The following is a 21,734-nucleotide window of genomic DNA, read 5'->3' as shown; positions in this document are numbered from 1 at the left end:
ATATATTATATATTTTATATAATATATATATAATATATATAATATATATAAAATACATATATATTATATAAAATATATAATATATATAATATAAATATTTTATATATATAATATATATATTTCATATATATAATATATATAAAATACATATATATTATATAAAATATATAATATATATAAAATACATATATATTATATAAAATATATAATATATATAATATAAATATTTTATATATATAATATATATATTTCATATATATAATATATATTATATAATATATGTAAAATATATATAATGTATAGTTTATATTATATATGTATTTTTATATATAATATATATTTATATAAAATATATTATATATATTATATATATTATATAATATATAAAATATATTATATATATTTATTATATATATAATATATATTTTATGTATATAATATATTTATTTTATATATTATATATTTTATACATAGTATATATATTTTATCTATATATTTTATATATAATATATATATTTTATATATATTATATGTAATATATATTTTGCATATAATATATTTTATATATAATATATATTTTATCTATTATATATTATATATAATATATACTTTATATAATATATGTTATATATAATATATGTATTTTATAAATAATATATGTGTTATATATAACATATATATTATATAATATATGTTATATTTAATATATATATTATATATAATATATATGTTATATTTAACATATATTATATAATATATATGTTATACATAATATATATATTATATAATATATGTTATACATGATATATATATTATATAATATATGTTATACATGATATATATATTATATATCATATATATGTTATACATGATATATATATTATATATCATATATATGTTATACATGATATATATATTATATATCATATATATGTTATACATGATATATATATTATATATCATATATATGTTATACATGATATATATATTATATATCATATATATGTTATACATGATATATATATTATATATCATATATATGTTATACATGATATATATATTATATATCATATATATGTTATACATGATATATATATTATATATCATATATAGGTTATATATGATATATATATTATATATCATATATAGGTTATATATGATATATATATTATATGACATATGTTATATATAAAATATATATTTTTATATATGACATATATGTTATATATAAAATATACATTTTATATATGACATATATGTTATATATTATATATATTTTATATATGACATATATGTTATATATAATATATATTTTATATAACATATATGTTATATATAATATATATTATATATAATATATATGTTATACATGCTATATATATTTTATATATAATATATATGTTATACGTAATATATATGTTATACCTAATATATATGTTATATGTAATATATATGTTATACGTAATATATATGTTATATATTATATATGTTATACGTAATATATATGTTATATATTATATATGTTATACATATTATATATGTTATATATAATATAGATGTTATACATATTATATATGTTATATATATGTTATACATATAATATATGTTATATATATTATATATGTTATACATATAATATGTTATATATATTATATATGTTATACATATAATATGTTATATATATTATATATGTTATACATATAATATGTTATATATATTATATATGTTATACATATAATATGTTATATATATTATATATGTTATACATATAATATGTTATATATATTATATATGTTATACATAATATATATGTTATACATAATATATATGTTATACATAATATATATGTTATACATAATACATATGTTATACATAATATATATGTTATACATATTATATACATTACATATATAGTATATACGTTACATATATAATATATACGTTATATATAATATATACGTTATATATAATATATACGTTATATATAATATATACGTTATATATATAATATATACGTTATATATAATATATACGTTATATATAATATATACGTTATATATATAATATATACGTTATATATATAATATATACGTTATATATATAATATATACGTTATATATATAATATATGTTATATATATTATATATACGTTATATATAATATATATGTTATATATGTTATATACGTTATATATAATATATATGTTATATATGTTATATATATTATATATAATATATATAATATATAATATATGTTATATATGTTATATATATTATATATATTATATATGTTATATATGTTATATATATTATATATATTATATATGTTATATATGTTATATATATTATATATATTATATATGTTATATATGTTATATATATTATATATTATATATATTATATATTATATATAACATATATTGTTATATATATAATACATATTATATATATATACACACACACGTATACATACAAATAAGGAGATATGTAATACTAAAACAGTGGTGCATAATTCACTTTAAATTCTGGTATAAAAGTTAACAGAAAAAAGTATTAAACATTATAACTATATAAATTATTAATGAATACACAACATAAAAAGATGTAACTGTGACATCAGTAATACATAGTGTGGATACAAAAGAGGTGAAAGTATAGAGGTTTCCTATGCAGTTGAAGTTAAGTTTTGATCAGATTAAATATATTATAATAAGTATAAGTTGTTTTATGTGACTCCACGTAACCATTTCATAAATGTCTATAGAAAATCACAAAAAATAAGAAAGATATCAAAGCATGTCACTCCAAAAAAAAACCCCAATGAAATACAAAAAAAGACACAATGAAATACAAAAAAAGATAGCAATAGAGGAAAATAGAGATGGATTAAACTTTGCACCCAAGAAACATAGAGTGGCTGAGTGGGTTATTTTATTAAAGATAGCCAACTCTATTCTGTCTAAAAGAGACTCACTTTAGCTGTAAAGTCACACATAGGCTGAAAGTGAAATAATGGAAGAGAGATATTCTATGCAAATGATTACCAAAAGAAAGCAGAGGTGGCCATATTTATATAAGACAAAAGAGACTTTAAGTAAAAAATGTGCACAAGAGACAAAAAAAGACACTACATAATAAGAGCATAGTCAATTCTCCAGGATAATATGACAATTATAAATATATGTGCATGCAGCATCAGAGCACTTGAATATGTAAAACAAACATTGACCTAACTGGAGGAAAAAATAGAAATCCACACCATAATAGTAGGAGATTTCAATACCCCACTTTCAATAATATGTACAATATTAATATGGAAGATCAAGAAAGAAACAGGAGACTTGAACAATGCTATAGACAAAACGGACATAACAGACATACACAGAATATTCTACCCAATAGCAACGGATGACACGTTCTTCTCAAGTACATAAAGAATATTCTGCAGAATAGATTACATGTTAGGTCACAACAAGTCTTAACAAATTGAAAAAGATTTTATCCTTTTTCTGTTTTGAAACAGGATCTCATACTATTATACAGACTGGAGTACAGGGGCACTATCATGGCTCACTGCAACCTCGACCTACCATACTCAACTGATCCACCTGCTTCAGCCTCTGGAGTAGCTGGGACTACAGGTGCGCACCACCATGGCCTGGGAATTTTTTATGTGTGTATTTCATGTAGAGACAGGATATCTCCACGTTGCCCTGGATGGTCTCAAAGTCCTGGGCTCAAACGATCCACCCGCCTCAGCTTCCCAAAGTGCTTCAGTTACAGGTGTGAGCCACCACACCCACCCAGGGGATTGAAACTATAACAGGTATCTTTTCCAAACATAATGGAATGCAACTAGGAATCAATAGCAGATGGAAAATGTACAATTCACAAATATGTGGAAATTGAACATACTCTTAATAACAAATGGGTCAAAGAAAAAATAAAAGAGGAAGTAAGAAAACATCTTGAGACAAATGGAAATGAAAACACATTATATCAAGCATATTCAATTCAGTAAAAGTAGTACCAAGGGAGAAGTTCACAATGATTAAATGCCTACATTTAGATAATAGGAAGATCTTAAAGAAGCAACCAAATTCTATACCTCAAAGAATTAGAGAAAGAAGAACAAACTAATTCCAAAGATAGCAGAGGAAAGAAAATGATAAATGTTAGAGCAGAAATAAAATAGAGACTAGAAAAACAATAGAAAAAAATAAACTAAGAGTTTATAAATCTTTGGTTAAACTTAAAAAAAAGAGAAACTATTCAAATAAATAAATTATCAGTAATGAAAGAGGAAACATTTCAAATGATGACCAGAGGAAAAAATAAAAGAATTATGAAACTGCTAGAGAGTGAATCAGTAATCAAAAACCTCCCAAGAAACCTCCAGAACCAGATGGCTTCATTGGTGATTTCCACCAAACATTTAAAGAATAACTAACGCCAAACTTTTCTAAACTTGTCCAAAATTTGAAGAGGAAAGGACACTTTTGTACTCATTTAATGAGGCCAGCTTCATCTGATACCAAAGCCATACAAAGACACTGCAAGAAAAGAAAACTGTAGGCCAATATTCCTAATGAATACAACTTTAAAAATTTTCACAAAATATAGCAAACTGAATCTAACAGTACGTAAAAGGATAATACACCATGGACAGGTCGGATTTATTCTTGGGGGTCAAGGGTAGTTCAAGATACCAAAATCAATTAATGTGATACACCATATTAACAGACTAAAGGGTAAAAATCACATGATCATCTCCTTAGACACAAAAATAAAGTTTGACAAATTTCAGCACCTTTTCAATATAAAAATGCTCAATGAACTAAGAGTAGAAGGAAAGTACCTCAACATAATAAAGGCCACATATGAAAATCCCTCAGTTACCATCATGCTCAATGGTTAAAGAAATTGTAAGAGAAGAAATAAAATTATTGGTTTGCAGATGACATGATCTTTTATGTATAAAGTTCCTAAAAACTTAACGACAACAAAAAGCCTCTTAGAAATAACAAACAAATTCAATAGCGTTGCAGAATACAAAATAAATATATAAAAACAAATTGTGTTTTCATACACTAAAAATGAGTTTAAGAAGGAAATCAAGAAGAAAATCTTATTTACAATAGCATCCAAAAGAATAAAATGTTTAGAAATAATCAAGAGGCAAAAGATCTGCATGCTGAAAACTACAAAACATTGTTGAACAAAATTAAAGACAATATATATTGGAAAGACAATACATGCAGTGGAGGGACATCATCGTATGTTTATTAATTTAAAGACATTATTGAGATGTCTATACTACCCAATGTGATCTACAAATTAAATAGACTTCCTATCAAAGTCTCAATGGTGTTTTTTACAAAAACAGAGAAAACAATCACAAAACTCATATGGAATCCCAGCAGACTCTGAATAGCAGAAACAATCTAGAAAAAGAGCAAAGTTAAAGGCTTTATAATTCCTGGTTTCAAAACACATTAAAAATCTACTGTAGTCAAACTATATGATGCTGCCATAGAGACAGACATATCAATAGAATAGCATAGAGAGTCCAGAAATAAATTCATTTGTACACAGTCAACTGATCTTTGGCAAGGGTGCCAAGAATACACAATTGGGAAAGGATAGTCTCTTCAATAAATGGTGTTAGGAAAACTGGATCTCCACATGCAAAAGAATGAAATTGGACCTTTATCTTATACCATACACAAAAATAAACTCAAGATGGATTAAAGACTTAAATGTAACACCAAAAATTGAAAAATTTCTAGAACACAGGGGAGAAGATCCTTAATAGTGGTCTTACCAATGATTTCTTAGATATAATGCTTAAAAATGTAGAAAATAAAAGCAAAAATAGAAAAGTCTGACTATGTCAAATTAAAAAGCGTCTGCATAGCTGAATATCTGTATGAATTCAAGTATGGACCTAGGCTACACATTTCATAGAGCAAATCAATACAGTGCAGGTGGGAACAAAACTATCTCTATTACCCAAATGGATTATTGATATTAATTCTATTTTATTATAAGGGTTTGATGCATTCCATATTGAGAGCAGTTCCAAAACATTTTTTGACAGGTGATCATCCATAAGTGTCAACCTAGCCAATTAAAAAACCATTTGCTAAACTAAACTGTGTCATCATTCAGAAGTTTTTTTGGACCATGGACTATAAGCTTAACTCTTCTGATCTAAGTTATGAATTTTATATGAGCATTTAACTGCTTAATACCTCTCATGAGCTTCAGGCTCATATTCTCCAAAGATTTCTCAATATCATTTATTGATTGTCTATAGATATCTTAAATTCTATATTTTCTATATTAAATTCTATATACCAAATATCGTATTGCTTTTATTTCTACTAATATTAATTGCTTCTCTCCAATTCCCTTCTCTACACCCTTGTTGTTATTGCCAGAGTGGTCCTTCTTTAATTTTACCTGAATTATTCCAATAATCTTGCAACAAAATAACAGAAATCATTTCTGAGCCTTTTTCCTCTATTTCTTTACAACTGAAAGATATACATGCTGCCATAAATGCTAGTGGATCACTAAAACAATAATTCTCAATAAAGTAGCACTTTGATCTCCAGAAACATCCCCTATTATCTTCAAGGAACAAAAAAATTCAACATGCAATGGCTTAAATAAATGGCAGTTTATTTTTAATTAGTTTTTTAACAAGAATTCTGGAGTAGGGCTGCCGTAGACAACTAAAATATGTCAGCTGACTATAATTTTCTTGGATATTCTGGACACAAAGTGGCTGTGCAATTCTAGGAATCACCTCTTTATTCAAGACAGAAAGAAGGATTAAGGAGAAGTACCAACAGTATGCCCCTTTAATCAGGAAAGTTCTCCCAGAACTTCTGGGCAGACTAATGCTTACATCTTATTAGCCTGAGTAGCCACATACACAATCCTCCTTGCAAGAGAGACAAGTTAAGTATCATTTTTTCACCCACCACAGTGGAGAAAAAGAAAAAGAAAAGGTGATTGAGCTAGCCAATTCCTGGAGTCTGCCATGTCACCCCAGAAAACTGTGTCCCATCTATGTTGAGAATTACTGTATGAAGGTCCTCACTGTAATCCCTCTATTCTCCATCTCTGCCACCAGTATCCCCTTTTCTTAAAAAAATGTGACCATGCACAATTTTGTCTAAAATATTTAGTGGACTCTTCCCTTCTACACTAACAGCAGCTTGGTCCACTATTGTGTTAATAGTACAATGATGTGAGATAATTGTATCAACAATTTTGTGAATAACTTACTAAATCAATTTGGGGAAAATAAAAGTTGTAATAATCCCATTTTCATTGCTTATTTTTATATTATTTCTTAATTTATATAAGAAAAAGACAGCAAAGATGGAGTGCAAGGAATTACACTGTTCTTTGGCTCTGCTTGTGTAGTGTGTCATGTACGTAGCTGTCATCTGTCCTATGTGCTACAGAGAAACACATGTTGAAAACTGCTGACTTGCATGATAAGATCCAAAACTATTCTCGTGAACCAAAAGATTATTTGAGGTCTGAGCATTACAAATATTTTGAACAACTCTGCTCCTGCAATTAATCACCAGGTTTTTAAATTATGCAATGCATCCTGGTCTTTATGGCTTTATTTTCTGTTTTTATACATTTTTCCTTCTCTGGCATGGCATTTTCAAAATCTTGTTTAGTCATTTTGAAGAATGCCTCTGAGACATTCTTAAACCTCAGGTCAAACATAATTTCTTTCAGAAAGTTCTTGACCTCCCAGTCATAGGTAAATTCTTTTCTCCCTGTAGCTCCCAGGGTGTCTTATTCATACTGCTATAAAGGTTGTGATTGTTTTATTTCATGTCTCTCCTCTTTTCACTCTGAAACCTTGTGAAAGTCACAAGTTGTGCTCTATTAATCTTCATATTTTTAACCACTGATATTTTTGGCACATAATAATAGACATTCATTCATTTATTCATGCAGGAAACATTTATTAAGTCAAAATAGACAGACTTCATTGGGCATGAACAACTTGCACAAGTACTCAGCCCTAGTAAGCAGTAGGCACAGCTAAATTATGCTTATGCTTATTTTTAAATTCCTATTATATTTCTATTTAAAACGACCAGAATTTGAAATGGTCAGAATCAGAAGCAGCAAAAGTCCCTCTAACTATTAGCTGCCAATGTAAATCAGAAAACAATATTCAGAGTGTAATCATTGAAAAGAAAGGCCTGTTTGTAACCAGTTTTTTTTCAAACACTTCCTCCCAAATTAAAGCTATGGTTTATATCTATCTTATTATTTTAATACTGAAAGATTGGCTGTTTGAAGAAGGAATCTTTGAAATATGATTTTAAAAGAACACTTTGTTTTGAAACTAAGGTTTTCAGATGAGTGTATCATAATGATGACAATTGCCTTAAAAACATACAACATACATTCCGAATTTGCCAAGAGAGCTCGAAAGCTGCAGAAGCTAGGCAATCTCAAGCTATCTTCACAAAATCAAATGAAATATAGCTAGTTATCATTTGGCTGACATCCAAGACGTTAACAAGTAAAATGTACAAATACTGAGTTTGGGTGGAAAGTTTCAACACCTGAAGGAAATTCTGACATGACCAAGGGATTCAAGGAGAATCTTGTGGAAAGTCTGAACTGCTCAAATTTTAACAGTCCTAACCTCACTGAACACACACACACACACACACACACACAGACGCATGCATGCACACACACACACGCACGCACACGCACACACACACACACTTCTGCTTTCTAACCCTTGTTCTCTTTGCTCCTGTGTTTGTTTGTTTGTTTGTTTGTTTTTTCATCTTATAGCCCTGTATGTCCAGGTCATTTCTAGACCTCATAAAAGAAGAAGACAGGGTAATCTCTTATTCCGTTCCCACAACAAGGGAGTAGTTACTAGAGATCAGCATTATTCTCTGTTAAAATTCTAATGAGGCAGCAGTGATAACTAGCTAACTTGCCTCAATTTCCTACCGCAATGATGTGAAGTCAGTAGCTCAACTGAGAGAATATTTTGTGCAGTTATTCTGTTTATTGTTCATCAAAATATATGAGGTTTGGTTGAGAGGTTCATGTAACTGAGGAACCAGTTTGTTTCAATGACAAGCCACTATATTAATCACACTTAAAGTTGAATATATTCTGTAGTTTAACTCTTAGGAGGTCAGTTTGCAGGTCAGTTTATTTTGTGGCTAAATTTGTTTTGTATTTTATTTCTTGGCCTCAGCATCTGCTAAGTAGCTCTAAACCTTTAAGTGTCTTATGAAGTTTTCTAAAGTATTTTTTAGAGACTTAGAGTTTGCTTAGAAATTTAATTAAAATATTGTCCTCTGGATCAAAACATGGGTGAATTTATATTTTATTAATAAAGGAATGAAATGTAGAACTAGTTGTACCAGATTAATTATACAATATAACATTACTATGAATAGAATTAATTTAGAAGACTTTAAAAAATAGGGCACTATTATATGCTCATAATCCAGCATACTATGTAATTTACAAGGCTGCTTCAGACTTTAGAACATACAAAACTACATTAAGGTCATAGTTCTCTGAAATATTTATTAAAAGCCATACACTCTAGTGCACAAGTTAATAAAAATAATTATGTGATATTTCTTATTAAAATGGTCAATAGATATATGAGATATTGTATTTGTTCACATAGCTATCCTGCTCTCCATTTCCCAAACTATGCTGCTAAAATGTTTTGATTGGGCAGAAAAAGAGTTCTATCAGTAGAGAATATCCATCAAACAAATGCTGGTAAATGGGGAATAAGAAGCAGGGAAGATATGGAATATAAGTAATTTTGAAATTTATCACACTTGTGATTTGTCCTTGTATATGTATCACCTATCCAAGATTTGCTGCAAGGCCTATCAACCTGCTTTGTCTCTTTATTAGCTTGTGAAGTAGTGCTCAAATAAAAAACCCATAACCTTTTATTTTCATTCAGCTTCTGGATGCTTTCCACCAACTTTCATTGCCTTGGGATTATACTTCCCACAAAAGCATTAACGCTTAAATTTTGCTTCATGCTTATTTTCTAGGAAATGCAAGCTAAAACAATTAGTACCAGAAATGGCATGACTTTTTTTTTTTAAATAATGCTAGATGCTTTGGGGAAAAAGAAGAAGAAACAGAAAGCTAAAAATTCTTATCTTAATACATAATCTGAAAAGCAAAGGGCTCCTCTAGCAGTGTTTTCCTAAAGCTGTCATCTCACAGCCACAGAAAAGAATGTGTTGAAAATCAAGCCCAGAATCTGTTTTTGAGTGTAACTGAATTGCATATGAAACTAATTGCTTACCATAAGACATTCACATGCGATGCACCCTAACAGTTAAATCTAATATTAAATAAATGAACTGAGCAAAGTTTCAGGATATAAGATCATTGTACAAAGTATTTTTTCTATACATACCCATGAACAATACAAAAATTTAAATTAAGGAAACCATAACATTTATAATATTATCAAAAATAAAATTCTTAGGTATAAATAAACAAAAGAAGTATAAGACTTGTACACTGCAAGTACCAAATATCATTAAAATAAAATAAAGAAATCCTAAATAAATAGAAAGGAATTCCATGTTCATGGATTAAAGACTTGTTAAGATGTAATACTCTAAAACTTCATCCACATATTTAACAAAATCTTGTCAAGTCCCAAATGCATTTTTTGCATAAATTAACATACTGATGCAAAAATTTAAATACAAAAGAACTGAGAATTATCTAAACAATCTTGGAAAGTAATAAGTTTGAAAACATATACTCGCCAATTCCAAAGCTTACTATAAAACTGCTGTAATCAAGACTTTGTGGTACTTGCATAGGATAGATGTATAAATCAATGAAATAGAAATATAAGTACTGTAATAAACCCATACATTTATGGTCAATTGAATTTTAACAAGAGTGTCAAGAAAATTTTATGAGGAAAGAAGAGATTTTTTTGACATATGGTGCTGCAAACATCTGCATATCTACATGAAAAAGAAGGAAGTTGTAATCCTTCCTCACATTATATGTAAAAATAGACCCCAAATAAATCAAATAACTAAAAATAAGCATTAAAACTATAAAACTCTTAGAAGAAATCATCAGTATAATTATTCATGACATTTATTCTAGAAATGCAATATTTAAACATAATACCAAAAGCACAAGAAATCAAAGAAAAAATAGATAAATTGGACTTCATCGAATTTAAAAGCATTTTCACCTCAAAGTAGAGTATCAAGATAGTGAAAAGGTAACAAACAAATGGGAAAAAATATTTGTAAATCACATATCTGATGAAGGTCTAATATCCAGAATATATGAAGAACCCTTAGCTAGAGCTCAACAGGAAGATCAAATAATTCTGTAAAAAAAAAAATGGGCAAAAGATTAGAATAGAGATTTTTCTAAAGAAGATGTACAAATGGACAATATATTCCACATCATTGGCCAACAGGAAAGTGAAATGCATTAGGAAAAGCCACAGTGAGATAACCACTTCACATACACTAGGAGGTTTCTAAGCAAAAGAGCAGACAATAAGAAGTGCTGGCAAAGATTTGGAAAAATATGAGCCCTCATACTTTTGCTGGTCAGAATATAAAATAATGCAGCTACTTTGAAAAACAGTTTGGCAGTTCCTTAAAAAGTTAAGCATAAAGTTCCATATGATCCACAGATTATACTGCTATGTATATATCCAAGATAACTGAGACCACATGTCCACACACAAACTTGTTTGAAAGTTAATAGCAGCACTATTCATAAAAGCCAAAAAGTGTAAACAATCTAAATGTTTATCACAGCACTATTCAAAAGAGCCAAAAAGTGCAAACAATCTAAATGTTCATTATCTGATGAAGGAATAAATAAAAGGTAGCATATACATGCAATAAAACATTATTCAGCCAAAAGAGAAGGAAAGAAAGCAGGGCCGGGTGTGGAGGCTCATGCCTGTAATCCCAGCACTTTGGGAGGCCGAGGAGGGAAGATCACAAGGTCAGGAGTTTGAGACCAGCCTGACCAATATGGTGAAACCCTGTCTCTACAAAAAAAAAAAAATTAGCTGGGTGTGGTGGCAGATGCCTGTAATCCCAGCTACTCAGGAGGCTGAGGCAGAGAATTACTTGAACCCAGGAGGCGGAGGTTGCGGTGAGCTGAGAGCCTGCCACTGCACTCCTGCCTGGGCAAAGAGTGAGATTCTGTCTCAGAAAAAAAAAAAACAAAGAAGAAAGAAAGTAGTGATTTACGCTACAATGTAGATAACCCTTTAAAATATTACACTAAGTGAAAATGTCAGATACAAAAAGCTACATATTGCATGATATTTTTATATGAAATGTTTAGAAAAGGCAAGTGCACAGATACAGAAAGTAGATTATCTCTTCAAAGGTTTGGAAGGGAGAGGAGTGATTGCTAAAAGGTATGAGTTTTTTACTGGGCTGAGAATATCCTGAAACTTGATAGTTGTGACAACCATACCACCTTGCAAATATACAAAAAAATACTGAATTCTTTACTTCAAACAGGTGAATATTTTAGTAGGTAAATTACATCTAGAAAAAAAACCCACACACACACAACACACATACTGTAGCAATTAGAGCTAGTATTAAAGAAGTCAACAAGAACAGTACTATGAGAGTTTTGGGGAAAATGCACCTAACCAGCAAATTACTAAAGCTCTGGACCGTTTTGAATTAACCCTACAAGGAGGAAGCAAATAATGCCAAGTTGGAGGGAAATTTATAGATTAAAATCACTCACTTCTCTTTGCTAACCTAACTGAGTCATTCTTAAATGAAGAAGGAGTTAATCCGCTTCAGCTAATCTATAAAACTATTTGGCATTGATACATGTAAATATTTAATAAAACAAAATATCCATGTATTAAATACTGAGTGACAAGAGATGAATACAACTTAGCTCTATTTTTCAATGACCATATAGCCTAGAAGTTAAGGTAGATATTATTTAAGGCATGAATATTCTATGCCTTTGCAAACTTACTTGTGTGTTTGTCACCATACTCCAACTTACAGCAAAAGCCGTAAACAGTCAACGAGTAGTTAAAGTTGTAGCAGGTATCAACTAAGTGTTGAGTTTCAGTAACAGAATCTTTTCAGCCTCTAAGAATGAAAGAGAAACAGGCTATCAAAGGAATCTGGTAATAACCAACATTCAGATGCTTAATGATGGCTTAGCTGAAAATGTGGAGAACAGGATAGTGGAGGAATGATATGCCATGAATTCTGAGGATCTGAAGCAGAATTCCAGTGTTTAGGAGTGCCTAAGAGCAAACACGTACAAAATGATCCCCAAAATAAGGAAGTAAGGCCAAGAAGTAAGGCAATGACTCAGAGATGAGAAGTCAAGAGGGTTACACAGCTACTTGAGTCTGCATGCAAGGTCAAATAAGGCTAGTATTAATCTGATTCTTCTAAGTTACCAGTGTTCAGCTGCATAAGGAATCACATCTCATTCACTCCTTGTCACTTCTACACCAAGTGGGAAGCTTGGCATATAGCGGGCACTCAATAAATATTTATTTAATAAATGAAAGAATGAATGTAATGACCCCAGCTGTGATAGTTAGAGGGACACAGGAGCAAAAAGCTAAGTCAACCATGATACTTGACTGTCTTTGTGCAGCCAGGCCTTTTAACGACATTAATAGCTTTCATGAGGTCAATAAACATAGTGTGGGAAATTATTCTTTAATTTCTGCAATTTACTACCAAGAATCAAGTCATTCAATTACCCTTCAATGTGGCCTCAGGCTTCTCTGTAATTCTAGAAGTATAGTTAACAAAGAGCATCCAAAGTTAATGCAAGTAATCTGGCCCGGATTCCTTCTTCAATGCAGCATTCTAAATATGGCTTACATACATGCATAGGCTATCAAAACATCAAAAGACTGGCATTGAAAAGTATTTGATCTGCAAAGGCAAAATTCATCCTATTTTGTTATGTCAAATTCCTTACATTTCAAAATTATAGCAATTGTGAGTTTCCATATATTTACTTGGGTGTTTATTAAAGTTCTTCTATCATATAGACGATGTCATCTATATTCTAAAATCATAAGACCCACATATGCTGCCTTAGTTGTGGAAGCTATCCAAAGAAGATGAGATGACCTGTGTTGTTTTGGACTGCAGTTTGCAGTTCATCTAGGTTTTATTATCACAACCTAAGCTACTTAGTATGTAGGGTCTTGGACACAGTTAAAAGGCACTATCCGATTATTGGTAAGGCATTCTTTGATGTTTTGACCAAACTTCTTTGGTAAATTGGCTATACTGATGTAACAAAATCCATTGCAGTTATGACTACTGAGGAAATGATATATTGGTGCCCACTTGCTGTGTAATACCTGTAATAAATAGGAGATAATAAAGTTTAGTTATTATCATTTTCAGTTAGAATTTATTCCTCTAATAAGCTATTTAAAGACCAAGAAATTGAATAATTTTTTTGATATTTTAAAATTGTTCCTACATTGAAAATCAACACATATTCATGTATTCATTCAACAAATTTGTGTTAAGTGTCCACTAAGTGGCAGGCACTTAGTGGCATATATAGGAATGGAAAAACAGCAATATTATTGAAAATGGTATATTTTCAACAATGTTTAAGATCTGTTAAACATCATGGATGTTAAGAACATGTTGAAAAGATTTGGAAGAAAAACTATGTAAGAAAAACTCAGATTTTATCATATATTGTATAGCAGCGATATTTTATAAGGCATGTAGATAATCAAAATTTTAAAAAGATTTTCTTTATTAATGTCTTATTTCCTGACTAACTAACAGTGCCAGATACTTCTATACATTTATTCCCCATTTCCCAGTACTCTCCTAGGTTTGTTCCTCCTTATATTAAAACCTGGATGATAGCTTTTGAGAGGTTTTCCCATATCCCTACTCAAAAGTAAGTACCATAAATATTAAAATAACTATTTATGACATGGCATTTTAGTTGAGGTATAGTCATAGTATCATCTGTTGCCAGGGCTTTAATCAAGTTTTCTCTCTGCATTATCTGTCCATTAACAAATTCAGAATTCTCAGAACAGAAATCACTCCAATAACTCAAAGACAGTTTATGAGTAGGTATATTTTATGTAATACATGTATAGTGCTATCAATATAGTACAAACAAATAAAAGTCTTGAAAAAACATAGTTTACCACTTAACAGAAGCTTTCAGTGAATCCTTTTGTAAAGATAAAAATCGCTGACATTTAGTCATGTGTGTAAATATAGATTTTCTTTTATTAGGTTTGCTTTATTATGATTTGTTCTTTCAACTCACAAGTTCCCCAAACTTTTGAATCTGTATTTACTGTTATTTTTATATAACAAAGCAGCAAAATACATGTGTAAGAGCACTGAATATAAGAGTCAGAATTGTATATTTCTGTGAACTTGAGTGTGTCTTTTATTTCTCGGACCTAGTCCAAAGGAATTATATTAGATGCATGTTCAATTTCTTCCAATTCTAAAATGTGATGATATGTTGTGATGCAACAGCTACTTCCGTTATGTTAGAAGCTTTTTATCAGTACCTACAGTACAAAAATAGAATTGACTAAAAGTAATCATCTGGTGCTTTTCTTCTTGATGTGATGTAAGCTATTCTTAGAACACATTCTAGTCTCTGTCATATGCATAATTCTAAATAGAGTTTTCTGACTGTTCAGATATTCAAAGAGCTTCAGTAATTTGTGCACTATGGAATTCTACCTGGGCCACAAGGTAGTGACCGATATTCTGATCTGCTCTTTTGAGGACTTTACAATGAACCTAATTAAGCTTATTTTCTCTTATATCATTAAAACAGATTGTAAGACCAAAGTTTAACTTGAAAGGTGACTATATGCTCTTTTAAACAGAAAGCAATATTTTATTTTAATTGTTGAAACATTTGTCATGTTTCCATTCCTATTGATTTTTTACATCATTACCATTGAATAATTTTTCCAAAAATTATACTATAAGTTTAAACATAAAACTTGAAGTTCATAGCTATATCAAAGATGCCATAGCACTGATCTTGATATAGAATTACAGCCATTGACAATTGTAAGGGCATTTACATGAGAGAGTTTATAAATAATTCTTAGCAGATCAATTACGTTAGAAGCTATTGCAAGAAACAAACAAATAAACAACTCGACAAGGCTCAGGACAATTACCTGATTCTTACCAATGGGCGGTACAATCGTATCAGAGAACATGGTGAGCCCCTGCCTCCATTTGCAACTGAGATTGCATACTTTTCTTCCTCTCTATGTTTCCTCCCATTTAGGAGAAATAAAACCACAGAGCTTGTTGTACCTCACTGCCCTTGTTTAGTGCCTTCTTGCATCTTTAAAATGTAAACTTCCTAATCCAGAAAAGGGATTGTCTTTTCTAGCATCCCAAGTTTAGCTCAATAGCTGGCACATTGCGGGCACTCAGCCAATGTCTGTGAATGTCTTTAATCCATAAACGGGAAAACTGAGGCCCAGAGATAAGTAAAGTGGCTTGTCTGAAGCCACTCAGCTTATTTGCTGGCAGAACTGTGAGTCCTCACTCTTGTAAGTCTAATAATCTTTCCACAGAACCACACCACATAAAGCAATGCAGTTAGCCTATGTACATTCCGGTTATTTCAATTATGCTTTTGTCCTCTATCTGCTTTATAACAATATTCTGAACAGACTTGCTCCTTGAACTCCTGAAAACCAAAACTTGCACTCATCCATGAATATATCACCTTTGCCCCTACTCTATGCTCTGCTTGTTTTGCACATTTTGGAATCTTGCCTGTGCTTTCAGAGCTAAGAAATCTCCCCATTGTAATTGCCTGAGTGTCTGCCTGATGGTCATTAGCCACATAATCCCAAAGCAGCCAGAAAGCAAAATTTCACTTATCACGTATTTTATCTTTATTGATACACAGTGTGATTATACCTCTGAAGAGTTAATGCTCCAGAAATATTAGGTATGTTCATATGAGATCCATGAGCCATTTCAGATGATAAAAAAGTACCACTTTATGGAATTCAAACCAGTCCATTAACTTTGCATTGCCTAAAACTATCAGGTTAGGATTTTTACTTGAATGGGCTTGAACTTTCTTAGTGGCTATTTCTTCCTTTCTATATTAAAATCTCACCCTTATTGCTGCTGAGTATATAAACAAGCATATACATATACAAACACTCCACTTAATTAAAACCAGAAAGCTCATTCACTTAATTAGTTAGTGTGAATAAAGCACCCTTTGGAAAAGATGCTACTTTTCCCACTTTAGAAAAGCAATTTAACAAATATTAGTGACTCTCTTTGGCTCGGTGTAAATTGTGTTCAGAAATGTGCCAATATTTACATGCACACACACTTCAGATGCCTCAACAAGACATTAAACAAATTCATAGCATATATAATCAGAAACATTTTATCATTTGTAGAAAAATTAAACTAGTGAAGAACTTCTTGATTTTTCTTTTTAATTTTTCTCTACAGTTTAATAAGCAAACCTGTTGGCTGTTAAACATAAGTATTCTTCTAAAATGCTCCACATGAGCTATCTTCTGACAATGCTAACAAAAACATTATAAGAGAGTGTAACTATTGCCTCCACATATAGATGAGGGAACTGAGGCACATGTAGGTTAAATAATTTGCCAATGGTGGAGCTTGAATTTGAATCCAGGAAATCTTGATTCCAAAGTTGGTGCATTTAATCATTGGCCTGTACAACCGTGTTAGGCAAAACAAGTGTAAACTTTGTATTTTATTTGAAAACATATTTGCCTAACTATTCGCAGGTATCTATGAATACTGCAGGTATCTTTCACTGTTCAAATGTAAACCTTTCTGTGATTTAAATTCTGCTGGACATTGCACAACACATCTAAAATAATTATTTAGTCTCTCATGCATTGATTTACCATGCTCCTCTGTAATAAGGGAAACTTTTCCCTAAAATGACTTAAATCATCTCTCTGATTGCTCATTACTTTGATTTTAATGACTCAAATATTATTTTTGATTTCCTCAATATTTTAATACTACCTCAGTTTGGGAACCTCCCCTAAATTATTAGAAAATTCATGGACTAGGTATCTGAAATACTTTACAGCTTTAGTATGAGCTAAAGCTACATAATACACTTGTTGGAACCACGTTTAGGAATTTATAAACTACTGTATCACTCAAAGCTTAAGCTGAATAGTGTTCTGATTTTCAAGCCCATCCGGAATTAGAAACTGAAATCCACAAGAAATGGACGAGTAAAGTGGAAGCGACCACTTGGTACTAAAGAAGGAAGCTTGGACACACAAAAATTCACACAGATTTGTGTTATTACAATGTTTAATGATAAATATTCAAAATAAGAACACACATTATCAATAAAGAGCAAAATGTGTTTAATTATAGTAGTCTGAAAAATTATAAATAATATGTATTACAAAAATGATGATTAAAAAACAAGAAATAAAAATTGTTGGCAAGGGTGTGGAGAAGAGACAACCCTTGCACACTGTTGGTGGAATGTAAATTGGTACAACCATTATAGAAAGCAGTATGGAGGTCCATCAGAATAGAGCTGTCATACAATCCAGCAATTCCACTTGTTGGTAAAGATCAAAAGGAAATGCATCACTCCTACTTATAAGCTGGTTGTTTGGAACTCTTTTTTTATTCAGTTATTAAATGGCATGTTCTGTTTTGCTCATTTTTCTGACCAGTTTTAATTACTCTGTTAATTTCTGAATCTCCTCTGGAATTTTGTCAAAAATGCTAGGAGTAAAGTGAAAAAAACCTATAGCCAAATTCTAATGAATAAGAATTAAGTATCTACCATGATAAAACCTTTCTAGGCATTGTTGGGGATTTACAAATTGTGATAAAATAGGTATTATACATACATTAAAGCAGTGCAAGCAACGAGGAAAGGCATCATCTTCCTCTATAATTAATTAATTTCTATTGGATATGGATCTGATTCTATTATTACCAAAGACAGAATTAAAGTAAGCATTCAATCTTTGGAAATAGGCTAGTCATTATATTAATTTTCAGCATGCTATTAAAATATACACACATGATTAAATATTTCAAGTCAATTTAACTTCTAATAACAGAAATGTTATAAAAGTAGAATAATGCTTCCCAAATGTCTGGGTAATACAAATATACTCAGAATGATGAAAAAACAAAAAGCAAAGAAATGATAAAAGGCAAGATGAAGAGTAAAGGGAATCAAATAAGATAATTTAATGAAAAAATCTAGGAAAGGAGAAGTAGAAGAGAATACAATAAGTCAAAGATAATGAGAATGGAGAAGAGAAATTAGCTGTAGAAAAAGGTAAATTCTGAGATATGAATTTAGACTATTTACAGTTCCATTTTGGGTGGATTTAAACAAATGGCAAATGTCCACTAAGTAACCTTGAGTATTATGATATTTCAGATATAATAAGGTCAGGAAAATAGTGAGCCTGTCTGAATTTGTGTCTGTCTTAAAAATTTATGTTAATGTACAAACATCACAGGCATATATTAATGAGGTTTTCTCCTACACATTTTAAGTGTTCATAACTCTCTTGTTACCTTGAGCTACCTATGTGTTTGAGGAGGATTTAAATTTTTTAAACTGTCATGTAAATAATAGTAAAAATAAATAATAGCAATAAGTAAATACCAAACAAGATATTTTAAATATATTAAAATCACTCTATGCTAATGCAGTACCTTTAATGCTTTGCATTAATGGATACCATAGATTAGCTCATTTAGTATCTATGTCAACTTCTTTCTATTGTACTTTCTTGAAGTACAGATTCTGATAAAGATTATATTTTTATATTTTCTTATAACTGGGATTCAAGATTTTATTTAGCTCCCATCCATTATATGTTCTCATGCATTCTCTGAATTTGGAATTGTACAAAGTGGAAAAAGTCAAGGTGTGATGCATCCATTCTATTGAAGCATGTCACCAGCAATATGACTCTACAGTTAATGACCACTTGATTTAGAGAATTTCCTTAGTAATAGCAGCAGTTTCCTGAATGTGGCATCATTCTGAAGTAAGCAACTTCACGATTTTGAACCATGGAACTGCATCTTGCAGTGTGATTCTGGAGATTAAGAGTTGTTCCTGGAATTTTGGCCTGAAGCAAGTTCTATTGACGATATTTTCAGCCATTAAATATCTGGCAATGAATCATTTTCTTTGTAGGTTTGGAAGAGTTGTCTGTGTTCTCTATAACAAACATCTAACTGATAAACTATATGAAAAAGAAAGGATTAATACATATCCTCTGACAACCAAAGTAGGATTTCCAAGTTCATAGCTAAAAAATGGGCTTGAAAGACAGGTCTTCCAAAGACAGAAAATAATATTCTAATTGATTTAGCACTGAAATTTAACAAGAAGCATACTAGACCACTTCTAAACAGGATGCTGAAGAAGGGAAGGATCCAGTATCCAGATAGGATGTTGAAGAAGGGAGGAGTCCAATGCCTATTTCCACCATTATGATTGATGGCACAAAAAAGTTGATTCAGGTAAGAAAGACAGAAGTTAAAACATATGTGTTTTGATATTCTTTCTCCATGTTTGGTCCCAGAATGGAGAGGTGTATAACATCATGAAATGTCAAGGCAAGGTGTTGCAACACTTCACATTTAAAATATTTGAAGGAGATTCCCTTGAAACTTGCCCTATAACAGAATCTTGAGAGTGGCCATGTCAAATGGCGTTTCTAGGAAAAACTGATTAAGCTAGAAGGCAGGCAGGAATGCTGCTTTCCTGAGCACCTCTTGAGTCCTGCATGGTATGATTGAGACTCAAATGCTCCTTAATGTCATACAGTTGAACTATGTAAAGGAGCTGAGCAGATAGTTAGAATGCCTACTGTTTGGACCACCACAGCAACGCAAGAGATGGTACTGGAGCAGAAGCTTTGGTATAGACTGGCTGACCTGTGAGCCAGGTAAAAACAAAACAAAAAAAAAAACAAAAAAAAACAGTGAATGCTGAGAGGAATTTCACATCCAATAAAATCCAAAGTGAAACCAACCAGCCTACAGGCATGTATCCTAGCCAAATAAACAAATTAAAAATCCAAGGTTAGGTCATGAGCACAATCCATTCAGCATCAGATACCAGTATGATGATCAGGGATGGTAAGTTCAGATCTCAGTTACCAGTCCAGGGAGAAGCCCAAATTAGTTATTCCATTAGAGAAACCCTGATGATCTGGAGAACACAAGGTGGATTTAAGGAGTATATTTCCCTCCTGCCCCACAAGGTCATGAAAACTATACACCATCCCCATATCTCCAGGCACTACTGGAGAGGGGCAGAGAACCTGAAAATACTCAGCATTTCATGTAAAGAGAATGAGAAGTTTCTCTAAGGGATTACTGAAATATTTAACCAGATTGAACTATAAATTCATTTTTGATTTTTGTTACTTTTTCTTGCTTCCCAGTGGGGTAGGCTACTTGAGGAAAATGTCATTTATAGAAAAAATTAAAAAACTGTTTTCTTTTACTATTAATTTGTAGCATAGGTTTATAACTATGTTCTATTTGGATACCAAAAATTTACTGACATATGACTAAATAAGATTGATTTTACTAGTGTAATGACTACAAGTGA

The 21,734-nt window shown here is 30.4% G+C and overlaps 1 long non-coding RNA gene across 7 annotated transcripts in view; it reads right to left on the bottom strand.

Moving 5' to 3' along the window:
- The window catches only part of LOC105379080 (uncharacterized), a 166,831-nt gene extending 145,318 nt beyond the window's left edge, over positions 1 to 21,513 (bottom strand). For 6 of the 7 annotated variants that reach the window (XR_001742806.2, XR_007058867.1, XR_007058865.1 and 3 more), the window contains exons 1-2: positions 16,267 to 21,513; positions 13,071 to 13,189 (exon numbers count right to left, since the gene is read on the bottom strand). This is a non-coding gene — a long non-coding RNA (uncharacterized LOC105379080). Of the gene's footprint in view, positions 1 to 7,985; positions 11,425 to 13,070; positions 13,190 to 16,266 lie in introns of those variants that run through there. The other variant, XR_948564.4, reaches the window with a different exon arrangement.
- Positions 21,514 to 21,734: the final 221 nt, after the last annotated feature.

The sequence above is a fragment of the Homo sapiens genome, chromosome 5, assembly GCF_000001405.40.
Source record: "Homo sapiens chromosome 5, GRCh38.p14 Primary Assembly".
Taxonomy (NCBI): domain Eukaryota; kingdom Metazoa; phylum Chordata; class Mammalia; order Primates; family Hominidae; genus Homo; species Homo sapiens.
The sequence above is the reverse complement of the archived record's forward strand: the minus strand, read 5'-3'. Positions and strand labels throughout refer to the sequence as shown.